Source organism: Homo sapiens, chromosome 3 (genome assembly GCF_000001405.40).
Source record: "Homo sapiens chromosome 3, GRCh38.p14 Primary Assembly".
NCBI lineage: Eukaryota > Metazoa > Chordata > Mammalia > Primates > Hominidae > Homo > Homo sapiens.
The window spans coordinates 179,180,839-179,204,298 of NC_000003.12; the positions used below are offsets into that span (position 1 = coordinate 179,180,839).

At 36.9% G+C, this 23,460-nt stretch overlaps 1 protein-coding gene across 2 annotated transcripts in view, besides 1 other annotated feature; it reads left to right on the forward strand.

Annotated features, from left to right (window-relative positions):
- Positions 1 to 23,460, forward strand: part of PIK3CA (phosphatidylinositol-4,5-bisphosphate 3-kinase catalytic subunit alpha) — a 91,968-nt gene that overhangs the window by 32,713 nt on the left and 35,795 nt on the right. For both annotated transcript variants that reach the window (XM_006713658.5, NM_006218.4), the window contains exons 2-5: positions 17,912 to 18,339; positions 18,852 to 19,061; positions 20,452 to 20,702; positions 22,706 to 22,951. In XM_006713658.5, coding sequence (XP_006713721.1) covers positions 17,988 to 18,339; positions 18,852 to 19,061; positions 20,452 to 20,702; positions 22,706 to 22,951 — 1,059 coding nt within the window. In that variant the 5' untranslated portion in view covers positions 17,912 to 17,987. The remainder of the gene's footprint in view (positions 1 to 17,911; positions 18,340 to 18,851; positions 19,062 to 20,451; positions 20,703 to 22,705; positions 22,952 to 23,460) is intronic.
- Positions 6,544 to 6,768: a silencer, noted in NCBI's record as "fragment chr3:178905170-178905394 (GRCh37/hg19 assembly coordinates)". NCBI's record gives its function as "represses an EF-1alpha promoter that drives an FKBP-Casp9 reporter gene in an ReSE screen in K562 erythroleukemia cells {active_cell/tissue: K562}" and the evidence as "EXISTENCE:reporter gene assay evidence [ECO:0000049][PMID:32094911]".

Here is a 23,460-nt window from a genome sequence, read left to right on the forward strand (position 1 = left end):
TAACTTTTAATTAATGAAGATGTTTTAAGATGAAATATAAAATGTGAACCTGAGAACTGTTTAACATTTAACATTATGGATATACATATCCATGTTTAGAATGTTCTCTGTGTATTAATGCATGATTTTGTCATAAATACCCCACTAGGAAGAGAAAGGTCGGAGAGAGTGTGTGTGTCTCTATGTGTGTGTATTTGTGTGTTTTGTCCTGGCAAAAAGACAAACTGAGAGAACAGAAGAACAAAAGAGCAGTACTGAAAATAGCTAGATTAAAGGTTGTTTTTCTGTCACCACACACCAGATATGGAGAGTAGTAAAAGCAGACAGATGGACAGTTCTGTTAGTTTTGGAGTGTGTGAATAGAGAAAAGAAACATTCTGTTCCTTTTATTCAGAAAAGGAATTTCTAGACTAAATTACTGGTATCAGCAATAAGTTTCATATTCTGACCAAAGAAACATTATTTTTTTTTTACCCTAGGGATAATGACTCATGCTGTTCTCAGAATTTTGCTTTTGTGGAAACTAAAGTGCAGTCATAAATACGGCACTGTTATTTAGATCTTAGTGCTAATGATACTATTGTGAGTAGACTAGTGATGGGTAAGAACACTAGTATTATAAACCCAGTTGTAACAAAGAAACCAAGCACATCTTAATTAGCTGATTCTAGATGGGAAAGTAGATTTTTTAAACAAATTAACTAATTGTTTTAATTCTGTGAATTATGCAATAGAAATAGGACCCATAATTTTATTTTTTTAATACTTCATTATTTTGAGGGGTTTATGTCAGAAGTTAAATTTCTAACTTCCAATATTGACAGTGGAGATAATTAAACATATTTTCTCTGCCTTTTTTCCTTATGTTCCTCAAAATTAGTATAAGTCTACTAAATCATAGTCACATACACCATAAAGCACCTATCAAAAGAGTATCAGCTAGGTGAAGTTCAAAGATTATATTCTAGTTTTATTTTAACCTTTAAAGTCTTGTAATTTAAGAAATAGAGGTTTGAATGTCTTCTTTATATACCATAGTACTAGATGCTCTCACTCTGAATTTTTACCATGTCAGGATACTCCATCACATATTTATCTCTGTAATTATAATTATTGGGCACATACACAAAAGAGTTGTCCTTTACGGTATCTCTGTCCAACCTAAAAACTTTCCCATTTCTCTTCACTTTAATCTCTTCAGTCGTTCCCTTTCCTGAATTACCTCTTTACTCCCTAGTGACGGCTTAAAGTTTTAGATCTTAAAGTTCCCTTTTTCAAACTTTCTTACGTCTTCCTCTGTGCCTTTATTTTAATGTCAGCAGAAGTTAGCTCATGAATCATAACATGTGAAGCAGTTGTTTGGAATAATTGACAGCTTTTAATGACTTATGTTAAATAGCCAGTTTAAAAGTTTTTGTCAGTTGATAAGCTTTATAAAGAAGCATTTTAATGTATTAAATCATTGTAAGTAATTTATTGTTTAACTGCATGCCTTGGGTGGTTAACTAATGTCATACAGAGCATCAGTGAATAAGAGTGGCAGTATTGGCTGGGTGCTATGACTCATGCCTCTAATCCCAGCACTTTGAAAGTCAGAGGCAGAAAGATCACCAGAGCCCAGGAGTTCAAGATCAGCCTGGGCAACATGGCGAGACCCCATCTCTGCATTAAAAAAAATTTAGCTGGGCATGGTAGCACACACAGGTAGTCCTAGTTCCTAGCTACTCGTGAAGCTGAGGCAGGAGAATTGCTTGAGCCTGGGGTTGGGGCTGTAGTGAGCCGTGTTCGTAGCACTGTACTCCAGCCTGGATAACTGAGAGAGACCCTGTCTCAAAAAAAAAGGGTAATATTCTACTCACTGATCATGTATGTTGCTGCTTTTACACAGTTATACCCATTTCAGTTTGTCATTCTCATTGCTTGCTTTTTAAGGTATAGTAATTATAATTTCCAAGATACTTGGTACATTGAACTGTACATAAGTATAAATAAATAGTAAATGCTTGAAAGGGAAAATAAAGACCACTTACTAATATTTCTCTCCCACCATTGAAGTATTTTGGCTGTATTGTATTATCGAAAAGATGGATTTTTTAGAAATCTGTGCTTACATGACTTCACATTGTTGTTGCTTTCATTCATAGAACTTGTCTTCACATCTTAGCTAGGTGACACTTGTGCTGAAATTAAGCTACCCTCTCTCTGATTGCACTTCTGGGAGATCTGAGTTTCTTTGCTTGCCAAAGTTATTACTTCAAGCTTTCCTGTTGTGAAATAGCCCTTTTGCCAGAGATCAAATACTGAAGGATGATAAATCACTATTAGTCAATAATTGCTTGCAATGGACATTTTCATTATTACTAACATAATACTAGGATATTTTGTTATTGCCAGAAAATGGGGCAGATGGCAACCAATTACATCAGGATATAAAGTTATTGTTTGGTCTTTATCATGGAAAAAGCATTGTTATTTAAATCAAATTTTTACTGTATATCATGTCTTTCATCCAATGTCGTAACATCCCAGATAGACTTGGGGTGTATTCACTTAAAAAAATACAATATCTTACGTTCATTAGAGTATAGTTGGAAGAAAATGTATTATTTTTGCAAGAAGCTGTTTATGGATTTATCTGATTAATTTATGTAGAGCCAGGAAAAAGTTGTTTTGACCAATAAATTTGGCATTTGAAATGAGCAGGTTAAGAATAGACATTAAGTGATCACCTTAAGTGCAATAAAATTTCAGTGCACTATACATTCTGTGCTTTATATCTATTTGTAAGAATACCAATAATATATCAATATGGTATAAGAGGAAAGAATAAGAGATTACTATAATAGCTCCTAAGAAAGGAAATCAGTCCAAGGACATAGGCTGAGGTTGTGATGTGGACAAAAAGATAATAGCAAGGATAGATAAATAACTAGACAAAAATGTCAGGGACCTAAGTATTTATATGGCAAACAAGGATACTCAGTACATCTAGAGCCAGACTTTTTCCAGTGTCTAATCCTTGTTGTATATTAAATACTTTGGGAACTAAAATATGTTTTATGACACTGTGTTAACTGATGCATAATTATGTAATGGAAGCCATTAGGGCCTGTGTCTTGGCAGGAATTAAACTAAAAGCAAGGTCCTTCTAGTATTTTTGGTAGAAGATTATTGGCTAGTGCCTATTTTCACAGCACATACTACTAAAATTAGGAGGACGACAGAAGACGAGCATTGCCCCTCCCTGTGCAAAATTGATAGACACATTCAAGAAGTATTCCATATTTTTAAGCTAATCTTTTTATTTGATTCACTTACCAGCAGGCTGTTTTCCTGCTGCAAAGCAAATTGGTGGAGTCCATTTACACCTTCTCCTTAGCCTATAAGTATTGGCAGAATCACCACCACGATCACAGCAGCACAGTCCAGACAGTGTCATTTGATTTTGAAAATATTGTCCTTGCAACAGCCAGCTAGGACAATGACATACTAATATCTGCTTTGCTTATTATTTGTGCCTGGGAGTATGTAATCATAGTCAACAGACACCATAGCTACAGTTTTATGACACTTGGTCTCAGGAAATAGAGAACTCTACAGAAGACAGTAGACCATGATGAAGCTTTATCATTAGTCCCTGGTTCTCTCCCCTCCAGATCACTTTGGCCTTCTGACAGACAGTACAGATAAATCTGTTAAGTTTGGAATGTTGAATTGGTCAAAAATGAAAATAATAGTCCAAAGCAAAAAGACCTTCTGTGAAACATATGTGGATGCAATTAGGTGAATATATTGTATCTGCTGGTGTCCCCAAAGTTGATAGCTTTATTTATTGGACCAGCCTAGACTGAAAATCTTCTGTTTAGGCATTTTGGTGGGGATTTTTTCCCCTCTGTGGATACCGACTGTTATATTTAAGGAAGATAGAACAATTGGTTCTACCAAGAAACCTGTAGCTAACCCAAGTTTCACTTTATGATGGCAGCACTTTAAAAGTTTGGTATGAAAGACTCATCTCTTCTTCATTCTCAAGACAATAGGGCTAATCAGTGAGATGCAGGCAAGTTTTAATTTATCTAAATACTAAAGAGTATCACTAGAAGGGATAGTACTTGAATACAAGTCCCTATGGTGACTAAATTATGTCCTCACCCCATGATATAAGGAAATAAGCTAGCCGTTGATTTTTGATGAAGAAAGACTGTGGGAACAGTGTGTAGCAACTGTTTTCCAAGAAGTTATCCACTCTCACCCATAGTAGTGGAAAGACTTGAAAGAAAGTTGTTGAGGTGTTCAGAGCCACAGAAAGGCCTATTAAGTCATTGAGCTATACTAGAAAGAAACATAAAAACAAAAGAGCAGAAGCCATTTGATAAACTTCAGGGGGGAGAAGTTCTAATCCCTGATGACTTACAGAAACATCTTGCCTTCAGCTTCTTACAGATCTTTAAAAGAATCAGGTCAAGTGATTTGAAAGACATATTGCTAATATTACCTTTTTCTAGATTCTGTAGAAATAAACCATTTTTCCTCTGCTCTCACACTACAATAATCAACACAGAAGACTTCTGTAACTGCTGGTCGCCAAGAAGTATATGGGGATTTCTCCCCACCAACAATCAGTCAGTTGATTCTGCCGCAGATTCTTCAATAGACAGCAGTTGAGTATCCTGTAATTCAATTCAGTTCTGACACTATCTGCCTAGAGATAGCATCAGATCCCATAGATTGAGGGCTCAGTCACAAGACTGCCATCCATTTCCAATGGCAGTCATAAGCTTCAGGTTGTTTTACTTGTGCTTCTGACTGACTGGCTATAAATCAGCGTTCCCATGACCCCCTCCTTGGGTTTGATTAATTTGATAGAGCAGCTCATAGAACTCAGGGAAATACATTTCTCGGTTTATTATAAAGAATACTACAAAGGATATAGATGAAGAAGATGCATAGGGCAGGGCTTGTGGGAAGGGGTGTGGAGCTTCTGTGCCCTCTGTGGACACACCACCTTCCAGGAACCTCCACTTGTTCAGCTATCCAGAAGGTCCTCGAACTCAGTCCTTTTTGGATTTTTATGGAAACTTCATTAAGTAGCATGATTGATTAAATAATTGGCCATTGGTGATCAGCTTAACCTTCAGCCCCTCTCTCCTCTGAGGAGGTGGGTAGGGGGTGGAGGTAGGGGTAGGACTAAAAGCCCCAGTTCTTTAATCTTGCCTTGGTTTTTCTGGTGACCAGCCCTCATCCTGAAGCAACCTAGGGGCTGCCAGCCACCAGTCAACTCATTAGCATACAGAAAGACCCTTACCACTTTGGAGATTCCAAGGAATTTAGGAGCTGTGTGCCAGGAGAGAGGACAGAGACTAAATATGTATTTCACAATATCACATAGATGTTCTTAATTTAATTAAGATGTTAATCTAGATATTCTTAAACTCTTAATGAACTCAACAAGCTGAGCCCTGGATAATGTACCCTTTTGTTTCTTTCTTTAGCTCACAAGAAGCCAGGAAACAACTATTTTATAAGTCAGCCAAGTCCAGAATGGTGTTAGCTTCATTATGGCAAGAAAGAGTGAAGTTACTTTTCGTGAAGCCCTGGGCTTTTTGAAGAAAAAGAGAGGAGAGGTGGTTTTAACATTGACTTTAAGTTGAAAAGTAGAGCCCTTTTATACTTTTTTCTTTAATAAATCCATCAATCAAGAATGGAACAATGTGTGGTTAGCATCATCTTTGAAGTTCCAAGTCACAAAGGGATTTTCTTCCTGAAGTATGTGGGATGTGAGTCATTTGTAAATGGGAATTACGAAGGACAATGAGCCCTATTTTTTTTGGTTATCATCAATATAGGTTTGGTTATAAACTTGTTGTAAAGAGTTAAACCATCAGGACCTTTTCTCTTAGAGTTCCACAGGAGCTGAAATGTTTGCTTAGTAGGAAATCGCAGTAACATTTCAAGAACCCTTCCGTATTTTGCATTTCCTTTATATTAGACCATGATTCCTTGCTAAGTTGGTCTCTTCATTGATCTCATTGGTTAAATTTTCATTGAGGCAACCAGGTGCATAGACTTCTATTTTCACTGTCTTCAGTATATACAGTTGGTCCTGAAATGGATATACAGCTGGCAAACTTAAATACCTTAGGATTGTTTCTCTCTTTATGCAAAAGATGCTATTTTTTAGTCATTTTATAAGGGAAGTGTTTTTTTTTTCCTAATTTAAAAAATTACCCTCTATATGATAACCAAATTTCCTTTAAGTGTTGCTTCAGTGAACCAAATAGTGTTTTACTAAGTGTAGGAGTTCTAGCTAGATAATATCTACCATCTCTTTACAACAAGCCTGAAACAGTAAGTTCTGTTTCCCTTTCTGGACACATGCATTTAGATAACATTGATCCAGTAGATAAGAGAAAGGGAGGCCGGGTGCGGTGGCTCACACCTGTAATCCCAGCACTTTGGGAGGCCGAGGTGGGCGGATCACGAGGTCAGGAGATCGAGACCATCCTGGCTAACACGGTGAAACCCCGTCTCTACTAAAAATACAAAAAAATTAGCTGGGCGTGGTGGCGGGCGCCTGTAGTCCCAGCTACTCAGGAGGCTGAGGCAGGAGAATTGCTTGAACCCGGGAGGTGGAGGTTGCAGTGAGCCGAGATCGCGCCACTGCACTCCAGCCTGGGCAACAGAGCAAGACTCCGCCTCAAAAAAAAAAAAAAAAAAAAGAGAGAAACGGATCCTTTATTGAATTTCTGTGTTCCAAGCACTATGCTGAGAACTTTACATATACCATCTCATTTAATTCTTTTGTTTGTTTTTCTTTGGGATGGAGTCTTGCTCTGTCGCCCAGGGTGGAGTGCAGTGGCACCATCTCGGCTCACTGCAACCTCCACCTCCCGGGTTCAAGCTATTCTCCTGCCTCAGTCGCCCGAGTAGCTGGGACTACAGGCGCCCGCCACCATGCCTGGCTAATTTTTTGTATTTTTAGTAGAGATGGGGTTTCACCATGTTGGCCAGGCTGGTCTCGATCTCCTGACCTTGTGATCCGCCCGCCTCGGCCTCCCAAAATGCTGGGATTATAGGCATGAGCCACCATGCCCGACCCTCATTTAATTCTTATAACATTACTGTGAGATAGTAACTATTTTTATTCACCTTTTGCAAATAAGGAAACTGCCTTCAAATGAGCCTACAAAGAAGACTTAAGAATTGGAGAGTTCTCCCTAGGGTCAGTGGAATTCAGGATGATGGTGCACTGATCTCAACTAAAACGAAACTACTGGTTGGACCATTTCTTCTCAGGACTAGATTGTGTTAATACACATTCTTCTCTTTGCTACTATATGTTAAATAATCTGGAGATTTCCATAATGTTTCCAGGTTCCTTGGTTACTCATTTGCTACAGGTGTTGCTAAAGATGTGTAAAAGCTCAAGTCACTAGTTAGGCTCTCTTTGTGGTTTGATTAGCTTTTGTCCTTTTCTTTGGCCAGGAGACACTCTAATTCTGTCCACCTGTCTTACCAGTGCATGCCATTGGTCACAAGGTGGGTTGGTTAATATAAAGGAATAAATGAATTGGAGACCAAGTATTGTACTACTGGAAAAACAAAGGCAAATGTTAGTATATTTTTTTCCATTTGGAATAGTAGTCATTCTTTTAGTTCTGTATTTTGAAATCATTATTTACCAATACAGTCTTCTTGATGTGAAAATGCAAACAGAGTTTTCAGTGTTACCTGATTTAGGGTCACTGGAACTGAGAGTGATGGTTTACTTCTGACTGCCTGCTGCTGCTTTTATGTGAAACTGTGATAATCTGCCTTGACTCCCTTCCTCCTAGGAAAGAAAGAAATAAAATAATTAAATAAGAAAAATATTTAGTAGAAAACTCTTTATCACTGTGGAATCATTTGTATCCTATTAAATGGTATATTATGAAATATATATCGTTTTCCACATTAAGTACATTTGCCTTTTCTCATAATCCTATCTCACCTTCACCTTTATTAATGTTTAGTCACATTTTGAGCTTATATTTTAAGAAACTTTAATTTGTCCTTTTGCATGCTGAAATTTGAATTTTTAAAATTCAAGTATGCTGGGCACAGTGGCTCACACCTGTAATCCCAGGACTTTGGGAGAATGAGGTGGGCAGATCACTTGAGGTCAGGAGTTCAAGACCAGCCTGGCCAACATGGCAAAACCCCATCTCTACTAAAAATACAAAAAAGTTAGCTGGGCATGGTAGCACATGCTTGTAGTCCCAGCTACTCGGGAGGCTGAGGCAGGAGAATTGCTCGAACCTCGTAAACAGAGGTTGCAGTGAGCCGAAATCATGCCACTGCACTCCAGCCTGCGTGACACAGCAAGACTCCATCTCAAAAAAAAAGTAAAAATAAAAAAATAAAATTCAAATTGAAAAAGTTCATTTTCACGATTAAATTCATATTTACAGTGCTGCCAAACTTAAATACCTTAGGATTGTTTCTCTCTTCATGTAAAAGATACATAAAGTGACTACACATTTCAGTATCTGGTATGGTTTCTCTTTATAAAATACAAAATTTAAAGTTCATGCTTTATCTAATAATCTAAGATCCAAGTATTAATCTATACTTCATTAATGGTTCTTTACCACATTTGATTCTGCTATTCAAACTGGATTCTTTTAACCCAACCTTGGTCACATTTACTGATAATCAGAAGTCCACATTGCTATAAATACTACTCACCTAAGCCTTGATTATTTGTCATTAAAAAAAAAATGTGTTAGCACAGATCCTCTCTAAACCCATTCATGGGCCTCATATTAGGAAACCCTTGTCTTATATAATGCATTAAATCTCTGAAATATATTTTTATAACATGTTTCTTAGCACTGTAAATATGAATTTGATAATGAAAATGAATTGCAGTTCCTCACTAAAGGAATTTAAATTTTTTGCATACTAGTGATGAGGACTTGATTTTCCACCCTGAAGTTGTAAAGGTCTTTCAGTCTCTCTAAAAGTGTGAGTTAAATCTGTTTTCTCACGGCCAGCTTTTAAAGGTCAGTGAAGGACGGCACTTTGAAAGAAATGGATAATATGCATCCTTCCAGAGCTAGTATATATTACAGCTGTCCCTTTGGACTCACTCCAGAAACAGCTCAGTGACTCTTAGAGGAAGAGAATTTTAGAGGCCCTAACTGGGGCCCAGAAAATTGTACTGAAGGATACTTGCTTCCTGTGCATCTCCACTATAGTAAAATTTGTTTAAAATTACGCTTCTTAGCCCTCAAATCCAAATGGTCTCTTGAGTGCTTTTGATTTTTCTTTAACCATCCGTTTCCTACTATTTCTACTGCTACCTCGCTTTGTTCAGGCCCTTGTTACATTTTCACTAGAGTAATTTCAACAATTTAGTTTTTCTACCTGCTCTTCTATGCTCTAGGATTATAGTGCATAAAAAAAAGTGCACTATATATATAGTGCACCCCCCCCACCACCCCCAGCATAAAAGACCCTATCCTGAAAAAGTTCATAGCCTAATAGGAGGTCAAACATGACTACAGATAATTTTAATGAGTATGTTGAGGTACAGTTATAGAAATACATATAAAAGGCTGTGGTAACATTTAAAAAGGGAGTAACTGACTCTAGAAATATTTAAAGTAACTTTCAACTGCAGTAATAAGACCATTGAATTATTAACCCAGATTTGAATCATGTTGTTTCTGTAGCAAATGTAGAGGGAAGTTTTGTTCTCCTGTTCCAAATCAGACTAAAGATTCATTTGGTAATTTAAAAATCAGAAAAGCTTTTTTTTTCTCTCTCTCTCTCGTTAATGGGTTGTAGGGGGGTGAAAGAACCGTCTCTGTCTCCTCTGGAGGCTCAGTATTTGAGTCCAAGAAATAAACTTGACAGTAGACAGATTAACAGGAGAAAAGGCATGTAAATGTATCGTATGCATATGCATAGGGGTCCTACAAAGTATGAGACTCAGATAAGGGCCAGACGGCTGAAGCTTAAATAGTACTTTTAGCTACAGAAACAAATATGGGCTTAAGGCTCCTGGAGGGTGAGGGGAAGAACTGTACTGTGAACGAAAATTGTCTTGCTCTGCGGATAAAGTCTCTCAGATAGTAGCCCTCAGAAGAATAGGTGAAAAGTCTGTATGGGCCTGGTGTCTTGGGTGTGCGGACCTCTAGTCTCCTCTCCTGTGATAGGAGTTAATGTAAATTCCAGAGATGGGGTTCACAATTCCATTCCTTCTGGAGGAACTTCCGTCTTGATAAGGGAAACTTCAGAGAAAGCCCTTTCTTCACTTGAGGAGAGAAGATGAAGAGACAGAGGTACAGGGGAATGTCAGACCTTGGTTCTGATGCTGCTTTTTTAGTTCAAAGAACTCATCATGTCAAAGTGTCATACTTTGGGGTATAGTTTCCTGACCCCTAACATGAGCAAATAAAGAGATGTAACTGAGTTAGCCACAAAACTATTTTTTTCTGTTGGCTCTATCCAAAAATGAGAGTGGAAAATGTTCTGTGAACATATATCTAAAAGTATGGGTAAAACTTGTTTTACAAACTGTTGGTCATTCAGCAAACATTTAAACAGCTTCTATACTTGTGGAACATAAATAACTAGAAAATACAAGCTGCTTATTTTAGCAAATTGTGGCTGTTTGCATTGCTCAGGCTGCCAGTTGTGCCAATTGTGCTGAGGTATGCTTCAAAATAACTTTCTTTCTTATTTTTAATGACTTTTTAATGCAGGTACAATATCGATGTTTTAAAAACATAAGTATTTGGTGTTTTGTTTTGTTTTGTTTTGTTTTTTGAGATGGAGTTTCGCTCTTGTTGCCCAGGCTAGAGTGCAATGGCGCAGTCTCGGCTCACTGCAACCTCTGCCTCCCAGGTTCAAACAATTCTCTTGCCTCAGCCTCCCAAGTAGCTGGGATTACAGGCTCCCGCCACCAGGGCCCAGCTAATTTTTGTATTTTTAGTAGAGACGGGGTTTCACCATGTTAGCCAGGCTGGTCTCAAACTCTTGACCTCAGGTGATCTGCCCTCCTCAGCCTCCCAAAGTGCTAGGATTACAGGCATGAGCCACCACGCCTGGCCTAAAAACATAAGTATTTTAAACATAATACACTTTTGAAATTGAAACCTGAACTGAAATATATAAAATATACTTTCTGCATATTTTAAAGTAGTTAAGCCAGAAAACATCTTAGGCTGTATTTATAGAGACTGGTAATCCATAGTCAAGTAATAGTTTTCTGTACTCTGCCTTGGAAATACTGATTCCAGAATATTGTAGTAGATTTTCATTGCCACATTTTGAGATGAATATTAGCAAAAGGGCATATCCAATGATGGCAAAAATGAGATGGTAAACTATCTTGCCTGAATTATGGTTGAAGGAATTGGTGGAAAAAGACCCAGGGGAAATTCTAATAGCTTTCAAGTATGTGATGAGATAGAGAAAGTGGAACTGAGGGAATGAACAAGATAATTTAGGAGTAACTATGTTTAGGGATAACTTCAGAATTACTCCACAAAAAGTTCCCTGTCAGGCAGTAAGCTCCCAGCAATGAAAGTACCCACTTAAATCACTTCTGAGATACTTTCCTATTTCAAGATTTTAACTTAAGGGCTTAAAGAACTTAGGTTGACACTGTATAGGACTGTAGTTTGCAGAGGCAGGGTTTGGGATAACTTCTTAGCCACTGGGCACTTATGCGGTTGATACCAGGTAATTCTAATACATTACAGGGATCAGCAAACTTTTTTTCTGCAAGATGCCAGATAGTAATATTTTAGGCTTTGCAGGCCATATGGTCTCTATAGCATCTGCTCAACTCTGTTGTTGCAGTGCAAAAGTATTGTTGACATTATGTAAACACAGTTTGTTACCTGTGTTCCAATAAAACTTTATTTACAAAAGCAAGTGGTGAGTTGGATTTGGCCTGTGGGTCATGCTTTGACGACCCTTGCCTTAACTAATGAAATCTAGAAATAGAGTTCTAATGTAAATATAGAAAGGCTTTCAATCTAGGGATTAAAAATCGAACTGTCAAGATGTCATTGTCTTCTTGGTCTGAAAGAGTACACATCAAGTGTTCAAAATAGTGAATTGCCCAATGAATTAAGAAACCTTCCAGTATAAAAGTCAAATGACAATGGAGAATCTGATACTGTTTTTTACTCTTTATTTCTGCTACTTAACGTTGTTCTTAAAGGCGTCGTTACTTCTGCTGGGTAGTACTGTCTACTCAGTTGGACTGCTGATGCAGACCCAGTCCATACCAACAAGTTAACACAGGTTCAGGCCTTCTGAGAACCAAAAGATTTTTAAGTACTTCCTTCCTAAATACAGTAACTTTTAACAGTAATTTTAACACCAGAAGCAAGAAGTAAACAAAAATCTCTGATGATCGAGGCATCTGTTGTCATATATTTTGTGCTCCTAAGGTCATACAGCAGAGCCTCTTGTATTATCTTTTGGTCTGTTGGCCTTTAGTTTATAGTTTGTAAAATGGTGGTCACATGTCAATGCTGACTAGAAGAAGGAGATGCTACTGTAATCAGGCAGGTTGGCCTTCGCTGAGAAGTGACCATTGATTGCTAGAAAACAAAGAAATGGGAGGCATTCAGCAACCTGGGGTTGTTGGTTTTAGGACCAGAAATGTACCCCCAAGTCTCCACCAAATTTCTCAATAATCCTGAAGAGTTTTGCTGTTTGTGTTTTAATATAACACAGTAATTGGTGCTTGTAATGAGGACTATAATTCATCAAAAAGGTAAATTGTGAATTGTGCACACGCACACACACTCTTCTAAGCAAATGGGACTGCTCTATTTTGAACAGTCTTCAAATTGAAATAACTTATTTCGATATGTAGAAAATTAGGATAAGCAAAACCAATTTATTTACTCTTAAGAGTTCCAGATAGTAGTGATTTGTCAGTATGCATATGAATCTTTAGTCCTGGCATTCTGAACTCAAAACCTCAATAGAGTGGTTTCTTGACCCTTAAAGTGTTTTATTTTTAGTAAATACATTTTTAATTCTGTGACCTCAAACCTCCAAGCTACATTATGATTTCATAATTTTATAGTGATTTATCCCCCCATTGCTTTAAATTTAATAATCCCATCCTCTTTATTGGTATTTAATTTTTTCTGTAGTCTAAAGGCCCTTTTATTTAAAATGTTATATATTCTGATTTCTTAATTTTAGGGATTTTTCTCTAGACAATTGAGAATATGTAATTTTTACACTTTAATGTTCATTTGATTATAACCTACACTTGAAAAGCAATTTTTAAAGAAATCTGAGAGAATTTAAAAATCATTTTAAAAGCATCATGTCATTTTTAGCTCAAAATACTTCAGAGAATTTATTTTATTTTATTTTTTTTGGAGACAGGGTCTTGCTCTGTTGCCCAGGCTGGAATGCAGTGGTGCCATCACGGCTTGCTGCAGCCTTGACCTCCCAGGCTAAAATGATCCTCCCACCTCAGCCTCCTGAGTACCTGGGACCATAGGCATGTGCCACCACACCTAGCTAATTTGTTTGTTTTTTTGTAGAGATGGGGTCTTGAGCCCAGGCTGGTCTCGAACTCCTCAGCTCAAGGGATCCTGCTGCCTCAGCCTCCCAAAGTGCTGGGATTACAGGTGTGAGCCACAACCCCCAGCCCAGAGTCTCCTTTTTACTAACGGTGTACAACATAAAATTCAAACTCTAACATGGTTTTACATCTGGCCCCTACCTACCTTTTGCCTCTCCTTCTTTGTCACATACTCCACCTGTTCCCATGCACTTTAGACTCAAGTAATGAAAAACAGCTTGTATTGCTAGGAACAGGCCGCATTCTTTCATGGTCTGACTTTATACACACTCTCTTGTGGCAACCTAGAACACCTGTCTATAGGCTCTCTTACATCAGGCCATACCCTTTCTGTGAAATTTTTAATCTGTAATATTCTACTGAAACTTTACCTCTCTGAAGCCTTCCCTAATCTCCTCAGGCTTTTCCATTGTTCATATTCTGTCTTGTAACAGTTATCACATTGTTAAAGTCGTTCCCCAGTAAACTATGAGACCCTTAACTGTGGAAGGGAAGGCATCTTTTTAACCTTTGTTTTTGTGCCATACTTAGCCTAGAGCCTGACATTAAGCAGGTACTTCTCAAAAAAAAAAAAAAAAAACACAGGGTAGAGACAGATAACAAGGGATTCCTGACACCTACGCTGTAGATAGCTATAACATTTCAATAGGAATCTTGGGAATCTGGGGAACTGGAAGCAGCTGGGAAAGCACCGGCATCTGAGCCACTCAGTACTCTTCCAGGCTTGTGTGTGAGCCTTGCCACCTTCAGGTATTAGCACTTGAAATCTAACTTCTTTATGAAGCTCCTTATTTACTTGCCTTCTCGGTGAAAAAAAAAAACAACAACAAAAACCGTTTCCTTCCCCATCTGGTGCCAGCACTGTATAATTCCTAATAAGCTTGAAAAGATAATGTTGGCAATACTTTACAAGTTTATTGCTAATGTTTAACATTTATTAGGTGCTTGCTGTGTGCTGATCTCTGTGCTTACATATTTTTCATATATCACTTCATCTATCTTCACAACAGTCCAGTGAAGTAGATGCCATTATTATCCCAATTTCACAAATGGGAAAAATGAGATTCATTGAGATAAATTAAACTACCCAAGGCCATACAACTATAGACTAAGGGGGCCAAAATTTGAATCTAGTGTAGATTCAAATTAGAGCTCATTCTCTTATTCACTACTGGGGAATATTGCCTGGCCATAACTGAAGTCCAAATAACAGCATGGTTATAATATGGGCTTTAAAATAATCTAGACCTGGATTCAAAATCCATTTATTGGAGGCAAGTGACTTCACTTCTGATCTTCAGTTTTCTCATATGTAAAATGATAATATCTACCTCAAAAGTGTTACTGCCCACCCATGTACATGGTACATACTAAAAAAGCAAATGTTAGTTCCATTTGCCACTTCTACACTTTATGTGAACCCTGGGGGTAATGGTTTGTACAGAATAAGGCCTGGCATGAGAAGACAAAAACCATCTGACAAATAAAAAAGCTGTCATTCTGTCTACCAGAATGTCAACCAGTGCCTGCCTTCCAGGATCAACAAGTGTTTTATTACCATAATCACATTTATTCTCTTAATGAAAAGGGTGTGTCTTGAGTATTTAATAGTTAATTACCCATAAATATACTACAGTAGAATAAGGAATAAAACCAGTGATCTGTCTACTATAGTAACTAGGTTTCTTTCTTGGTAATACTTAGGGAACATATGAGGGTTCCCTGTGGGTTGTTATTTATTATATAAAATAGTTGCTCTGGTAGTTCCATAATAGAGACCTGTCAGTGCCATTCAGCAGAGAAAAATCATAAACACAGCTGCTGTTTTTGTGTGGCTTGTGGTTTTGGTTTTGTTTTCATTTGAACTTTTTTATGCAGGCATGTCATCATTTAAAAGTAGTCATTTGGCGTTTTCCCTTGCATTCTTCAGATTTTTTGTAGGCTTAAAAAAATTTAAGTCACTTCTATAATTGTTCATACAGATTGATCCATCTGGTCTTTTTACTAGCCAATGAAATTTTTGACATGTAGGAAAAAGGACAATTATTTTAAATTCTATAATTTCAGTGGATCTCTTTTATAAGTTTGAAGAAAAATAGTTTCAACTATCAAAAAATATTTTTCTTATATTCTTCATTGTTTCCTGTTAATTTCTGTATTTTCGTGGGGGCTAAAAAGGCTAATAATTTCTGCTATTCCTACTCTTCACATCCTTTGTGTGTTATAACTCTGAAGCATACCATAATTATTTGTTTGCAACCAAGAATTGGTACAGCATAAATGTCTAATCAAATTAGGCCCTCTTGCTCTCTTTAAGTCACACTGGCTATGAGGTGGAGGTGGATTATAGGGGGCAGGCATCAATTCAGGGAGACCATTTAGGCCTTTGCAGTGGTCCAGACAAGAAATATTGATGGCCGGCCCAAGGTACTAAGAGTGGTATTTGAAGAATGTAGACAGAATAAAGAGAGAATTAACGAAGCTTGTTGATGGGTTAGATGTTGATTGGTGTGAGATGGAGAGAGGAGTCAGGGATGGCAGGTTTCCTCTCTTCTTTCTTGTTGTGTTTGTTCAACTCTTGCTTATCTTTTTTTTTTCTTTGTTTTTTGATGGAGTCTCGCTCTGTCGCCCAGACTGGAGTGCAGTGGAGCGATCTCGGCTCACTGCAACCTCTGCCTCCCAGGTTTAAGTGATTCTCCTGCTTCAGCCTCCTGAGTAGGTGGGATTACAGGTGCATGCCACCACGCCCAGCTAACTTTTGTATTTTTAGTAGAGACGGGGTTTCACCGTGTTGGTCAGGCTGGTCTCAAACTCCTGACCTCGTGATCTGCCCACCTCAGCCTCCCAAAATGCTAGGATTACAGGTGTGAGCCACCATGCCCAGCCACTTATCTTTAAAGGATTAAGTTTATGTTTCCTACTATGGGAAACCATCCCACCCCAAACTTGATGACCGCATTATGTGCTTTTATAGAACCTGGCACTTCTCCAGGATAGCATTTATTCTGTTTTGTAAGTGTGAATGTAATTACCCTACACACAGCATACACATAATCTTCATATTCTTTGCCTTGTCTTGTGAAGGCAAGGGCCATGTCTATCTTATTCGTCATTAGATTCCCACATCCAACATAGTCCTGGGGACAGCACCAATGCACTTTTGGTGCATAAGCAAATAGTGTCATTTATAGCTCTTACCTACAATATCTGATAGACTAATCAAATATAGTAGGTTATCTGGGCCTTTTTGATTCATGTCTCTAGCTTAACTTTCATTTTTTTCTTATTTGGTATCTCTCACTTTGCCTTTTGATATACTCTTACAGTTTCGCTCACTGAGTAAAAGAAAATATAAACAGCAAGAAGTAAACTTGTGTTTTATGGATTTTGATAACATCTTCTAAAAGACCCCCCAAGATTGTTGATGTCTAAAAAAATTAAGGGCCTTCAACTCATAATAATACTTAATAGTTCTTAAAATATTACAAACTGATTGGAACATTGCACTAACAGAGAGAGTCATGGATCTTATTTATGTGTAGATTCATTTCAGTCAGAAGTATTAGGACTGGTTTATTTGAGAAAGTAAATAGATCATTACAAATTCATCGTCATACTTCAAGGAAAATTCATTGATGACACTTTCTAATATTGTGACTATATACCTAAATCATACTTTAAGAACAGAATGTCTAAGATATCACCTAGATAAGAATCAATACAAAAAGAAAAAGGAAAATTACAAAGATTGATTTAAGAAAGACAAAAGACTAAGCCATAAAATTTCTCATTATTACAGGTTGAGGGCAGGGAGTGAAAAAGGAAAAGGATTTGACTTCTCTAGGCATGGTTTTACTTATTTTAAAATAAGAGCAGTGGACCCATGATCTGAAAGATTGTTTCTGGCCTAAATTCTGTTTTTCCGTAAGATAGAAGAGAATGATAAAGGTGATATGCAATGGGAATTTTGGGTTGAATTGCAACTTACTTTTCATTCTTCCCATAGCCTCATCTCTGTCTTGATGAAACCTTAGAGAATCCACTCAAATATAGTGTTTTCTTAAATGACTTTATTAAATTTAATTAAATACAAATGGTTTTTCTAATCTCTGCTGAAATAAATTCTTTGTAGCCTAATTTAGAGCAACAGTCTAGATTAGAATACTTAAGATGAATTATTACTACTTAGCCTAATCAAGTCAAACTATGGAAAATGAGTTTTTACATTTTAGCAGTGTTATAAATGTATTCTTCTGTAGTTGTGTCTCTTTTAACATATGTTTTCCTTCTTTGATTTAGGTTTCTGCTTTGGGACAACCATACATCTAATTCCTTAAAGTAGTTTTATATGTAAAACTTGCAAAGAATCAGAACAATGCCTCCACGACCATCATCAGGTGAACTGTGGGGCATCCACTTGATGCCCCCAAGAATCCTAGTAGAATGTTTACTACCAAATGGAATGATAGTGACTTTAGAATGCCTCCGTGAGGCTACATTAATAACCATAAAGCATGAACTATTTAAAGAAGCAAGAAAATACCCCCTCCATCAACTTCTTCAAGATGAATCTTCTTACATTTTCGTAAGTGTTACTCAAGAAGCAGAAAGGGAAGAATTTTTTGATGAAACAAGACGACTTTGTGACCTTCGGCTTTTTCAACCCTTTTTAAAAGTAATTGAACCAGTAGGCAACCGTGAAGAAAAGATCCTCAATCGAGAAATTGGTATGATACAATATCCTATTCTAAAATGCAAATAACCATAAAGCTTAACTGTTGTCCCTTTCTAAAATATTTCTGTCTAAACCAATACCTTCGTAATCTTAAATAGCTTTCTAAATAAAAATCATAAATCTAAAGTATGTTTTACTATCGAACTATGGAACTATTTTTAACACCTTGATATTATTCCATAAGGTTTTATTTAAGAAATGTCATTTGTGGGATGACTTAGATTTGTTATATCTCAGTGTTGTTATTCTTTTAAAAATGATTGATAGGAATGTTTGCTGCCTTTGCTCTAAATTGCTGAATATATTATTTTTTATATATTAAAAATATTCAGGACTGTCAACTTTTAATATATATGCATTCATCAAAAATTTGTTTTAACCTAGCGGTACTTTTTTTACTTTATTGTGATCTTCCAAATCTACAGAGTTCCCTGTTTGCAAAAAAAACATGTTCATGCTGTGTATGTAATAGAATGTTATATTCTTTATGTAATTTTATTAAAGGTTTTGCTATCGGCATGCCAGTGTGTGAATTTGATATGGTTAAAGATCCAGAAGTACAGGACTTCCGAAGAAATATTCTGAACGTTTGTAAAGAAGCTGTGGATCTTAGGGACCTCAATTCACCTCATAGTAGAGCAATGTATGTCTATCCTCCAAATGTAGAATCTTCACCAGAATTGCCAAAGCACATATATAATAAATTAGATAAAGGTAAGAAAATGACTAATCTACTCTAATCATTACTATAGTGCAGTCTTCTACCTGTGTCTATATCTTTGTATAGTCTTTTTTTTTTTTTCCAGCTAGATAGTAAGCTTCTTGAAGGCAGGGACTGCTTATACTGACAAGATATAGTTGAGTGCTAAATAGAAATTATGTACAATCAATATTTATTGGTTGAATTTTTGTGTGAATATGATACTGATTTCTTGGTAAATTGTCTATAAAACGGAAGAAGTATGAGTTTGAAATTTACTATTTTTTAGGATTCAGAATTAGAGCTGATTATCTTTTCATAAATAAAAACTATAAATAGAAACATTTTATGAAATTTTGGGAAAACTTTATACATTCTTGTTATTATATATCATAAATACACCAGAAAAAAATAAGTAATTTTCTTAAGTATTAAATGCAGTAATTCTGATCATGGGTGATAATATATAGGGAGATTTTTGATATTTAATATATTAGTTTCTAGAATTAAGGGAACAAGAAACTAAACTATATTGTTTTCAAAATGCATGTCATTGTATCAGATAAATATCTATATTTTTCAGGGTAACAGTAAAATTATCAATTTGAGTTAACTCTCACACACTATTAAATATCAAATTCTGTTAGTAGAATAAGTTAAGACATCTTATTACTATTCGTATTTTTCAAAGTAGTTTAATGCAACATAAGATCTTTCAAAATTCTTTTCTATTCTAGCATATATTTTAATGCTCTTTTCATTTTCCCGAACATTCTTTGTGAAAAATTTTCAACATATAGACAACTTGAAAGAAATGTACTGTGAACAACCAAACCTCTCTAAATAGTTTGTCTTCCCGTTTTCTTCATCTTTCTCTTTTCTTCTTTTTTGGACTCCTGGCTTAATCTTAAAAGGAGAAAATTAGACAATGCATTTCCTCTCCCCTCGTAATTTTCTTACCTTTCCTCCCTCACATTTTCTGTCATTCTAATTGAACATCTTTAAACCTCCATTGGTTCTTTCTTTACTTCCCATAGTTACCAAAAACTTCCACCTTAGGCACTGTCAAACCTTTGAGACCATCATGAATCACTATTCATAGGGGCAGTACCCATGAAGTATGTCATACAGTTTAGAATGGAAATTAGCTTGGTCTCAGGTACTTGTGACCCACATATCACAGTTTTGTGTGCTTGTCATAAAACATGAGATTTGGGAATGATCTGGCAGCCCGCTCAGATATAAACATTTTCTGTTTCTACCTGATATTTACCTAGTTTTAATTGGGCTGATTAAAAAGCATTTCTGATATGGATAAAGTAATGATAGTGAATACTTGTTGAAATTTCTCCCTTGAAAAATGAAAGAGAGATGGTGATTGCATCTAATGTTTTCCTGTTATAGGGCAAATAATAGTGGTGATCTGGGTAATAGTTTCTCCAAATAATGACAAGCAGAAGTATACTCTGAAAATCAACCATGACTGTGTACCAGAACAAGTAATTGCTGAAGCAATCAGGAAAAAAACTCGAAGTATGTTGCTATCCTCTGAACAACTAAAACTCTGTGTTTTAGAATATCAGGGCAAGTATATTTTAAAAGTGTGTGGATGTGATGAATACTTCCTAGAAAAATATCCTCTGAGTCAGTATAAGGTGAGTAACAAGTTTCAAAATATTAATTTTTAATTTAAAAAGTAATCACATTGAGGATGAGTATCTGTATTTTTTTTTTTTTTTTGAGACGGAATCTCACTCTCGCCCAGGCTGGAGTGCAGTGGCGCGATCTCGGCTCACTGCAGGCTCTGCCTCCTGGGTTCATGCCATTCTCCTGCCTCAGCCTCCCGAGCAGCTGGGACTACAGGCGCCCGCCACCACACCTGGCTAATTTTTTGTATTTTTAGTAGAGACAGGTTTTGCACCATGTTATCTAGGATAGTCTTGATCTCCTGACCTCGTGATCCACTCTCCGTGGCTTCCCAAAGTGCTGGGATTACAGACGTGAGCCACCACGCCCAGCCAAGTATCTATTTTTAGGATATACTTCTTGATAAGTAATATTAGTAAATAGCGTTTGTAAGCTTATTCTTTTAATTCTGTGATTAATTCGAGAGGCTGAAAATGTTGGCAGTTACTCCAGCTCCCAAATATAGATATTCCATGGGGTTGTTGTTTTTGTTGTTGTTTGTTTGTTTTTCGAGACAGGGTCTCGCTTTGTCTCTCAGGCTGGAATGCAGTGGTATGATCATGGCTTACTGCAGCATCAGCCTCCCAGGCTCAAGCAGTCCTCTCACCTCAGCCTCCTAAGTGGCTGGGACCACATGCGTGTGCCACCATGCCCAGCTAATTTTTGTTTGTTTGTTTGTTTGTTTAGAGACAGAGTCTCATATTGTCCAGGTTGGTCTCGAATTCTGGGCACAAACAATCCTCCTGCCTTGGCCTCCCACAGTGCTGGGATTACAGGCGTGAGCCATTGCGCCCAGCCTATTTCGTGATTTTTATCCCCTCCAACCAGTGGCTGTGGAATGGAATTGAAATAGACATTTCAAAAAATCCATGACCTACTGTTAAGATATACTATTGATACTTTCCTACTCTCTTTTTCTGTTTATTAAATAAATACCTATAAGAAGCAACTACGTTTGTGCCAAGCATATGTCGAGTACTAATTTACATAACCAAGTAAAACCTGGGCCTGGCCTTCAGGTTGCTTATTTTCTAGTGGGGCTTATGGGTAAGAAAATAATGTGTATATAGTAACATTTATATTAAAAATCTCGTCTTAACTACCATTTCAAAATTCAGACCAGTATATTTTAACATTTTTTGTAAATATCCATAATGTTACTGGTCTCCACTATTTGTGGTTTTTTGTTTTAATTTTAGCAAAACTAATGTTTCTCAGGAAATGTTTGGACAAAAAAGCAAGTGAACAGCAGCCTTTGGATGGGACATCAGTATGACTTAATAGATTGAATGACAGAGGCGTCCTAAGTGATATTACTTTTCTGTTATCATATACAATGTTTTCATAATGAGTATCCTGTGATCCTTGTTTTTTTTTTTTTTTTTTTGAGACGGAGTCTTGCTCTGTCGCCCAGGCTGGAGTGCAGTGGCAGGATCTCGGCTCACTGCAAGCTCCGCCTCCCGGGTTCACGCCATTCTCCTGCCTCAGCCTCCCAAGTAGCTGGGACTACAGGCGCCCGCCACTACGCCCGGCTAATTTTTTGTATTTTTAGTAGAGACGGGGTTTCACCGTTTTAGCCAGGATGGTCTCGATCTCCTGACCTCGTGATCCGCCCGCCTCGGCCTCCCAAAGTGCTGGGATTACAGGCGTGAGCCACCACGCCCGGCCGTGATCCTTGTTTTTAATTCCTTTTTTTGCCTCCAGTTAAGGGTAGAACTACAGTTTCAAAAGTTGACCTTAATTTTTTTCTTTCGTGCAATTTATATTCAGAAGTGTTTGATTGATCTTGTGCTTCAACGTAAATCCTAAATGTTAGTATTTTAAATGTTATAGGAACTACTAGTAAATGTGGTCTATAATGTTTAATTTTTTATCACCTTTGCAGATTAATATGTAGTCATAATACTCTGACATGTTACTTTTAAAATGAAAAACCTTACAGGAAATGGCTCGCCCCCTTAATCTCTTACAGTATATAAGAAGCTGTATAATGCTTGGGAGGATGCCCAATTTGATGTTGATGGCTAAAGAAAGCCTTTATTCTCAACTGCCAATGGACTGTTTTACAATGCCATCTTATTCCAGACGCATTTCCACAGCTACACCATATATGAATGGAGAAACATCTACAAAATCCCTTTGGGTTATAAATAGTGCACTCAGAATAAAAATTCTTTGTGCAACCTACGTGAATGTAAATATTCGAGACATTGATAAGGTAAAGTCAAATGCTGATGCTTATTATTTTATAGAAATTATTTTAGATAACCTTTTTCTTGCACTATACAGTAATCTGTTGACCTGTAGTATGTTTTCAGATGGTTAGGAGAACATCCAAATCTCCGAATGTAAAAATATATCAAGAATTTTACTTGAGCTTCCATCTACCTTAGCTATTATACAGCTCACAGTCCTTTGTTAATAATTCTAATATTCACAATTCTAGCTCTTAAAATCAAAAGTTTTACAGAATTCGTTTGGCAGAAAGACCTGGGCCAACCTTAAGTGAGGGTTTTTATAATCTTTATTAACCCCACTTAGTATAAAATTCCGGTATCTTATTAAAGAAATATTAATGTCTTTATGAGGTACTGCTTCACCAGCTAAGGAAGTAGTATTTAGTAAGTACGTGTACCAATTTAGCTTTCTAAAATATGGAAAAACTCTGAATTACATACCTCCCTTAAGGGGATTGTGGGCCTATATTTATGTTTTAGTAGTCTGATG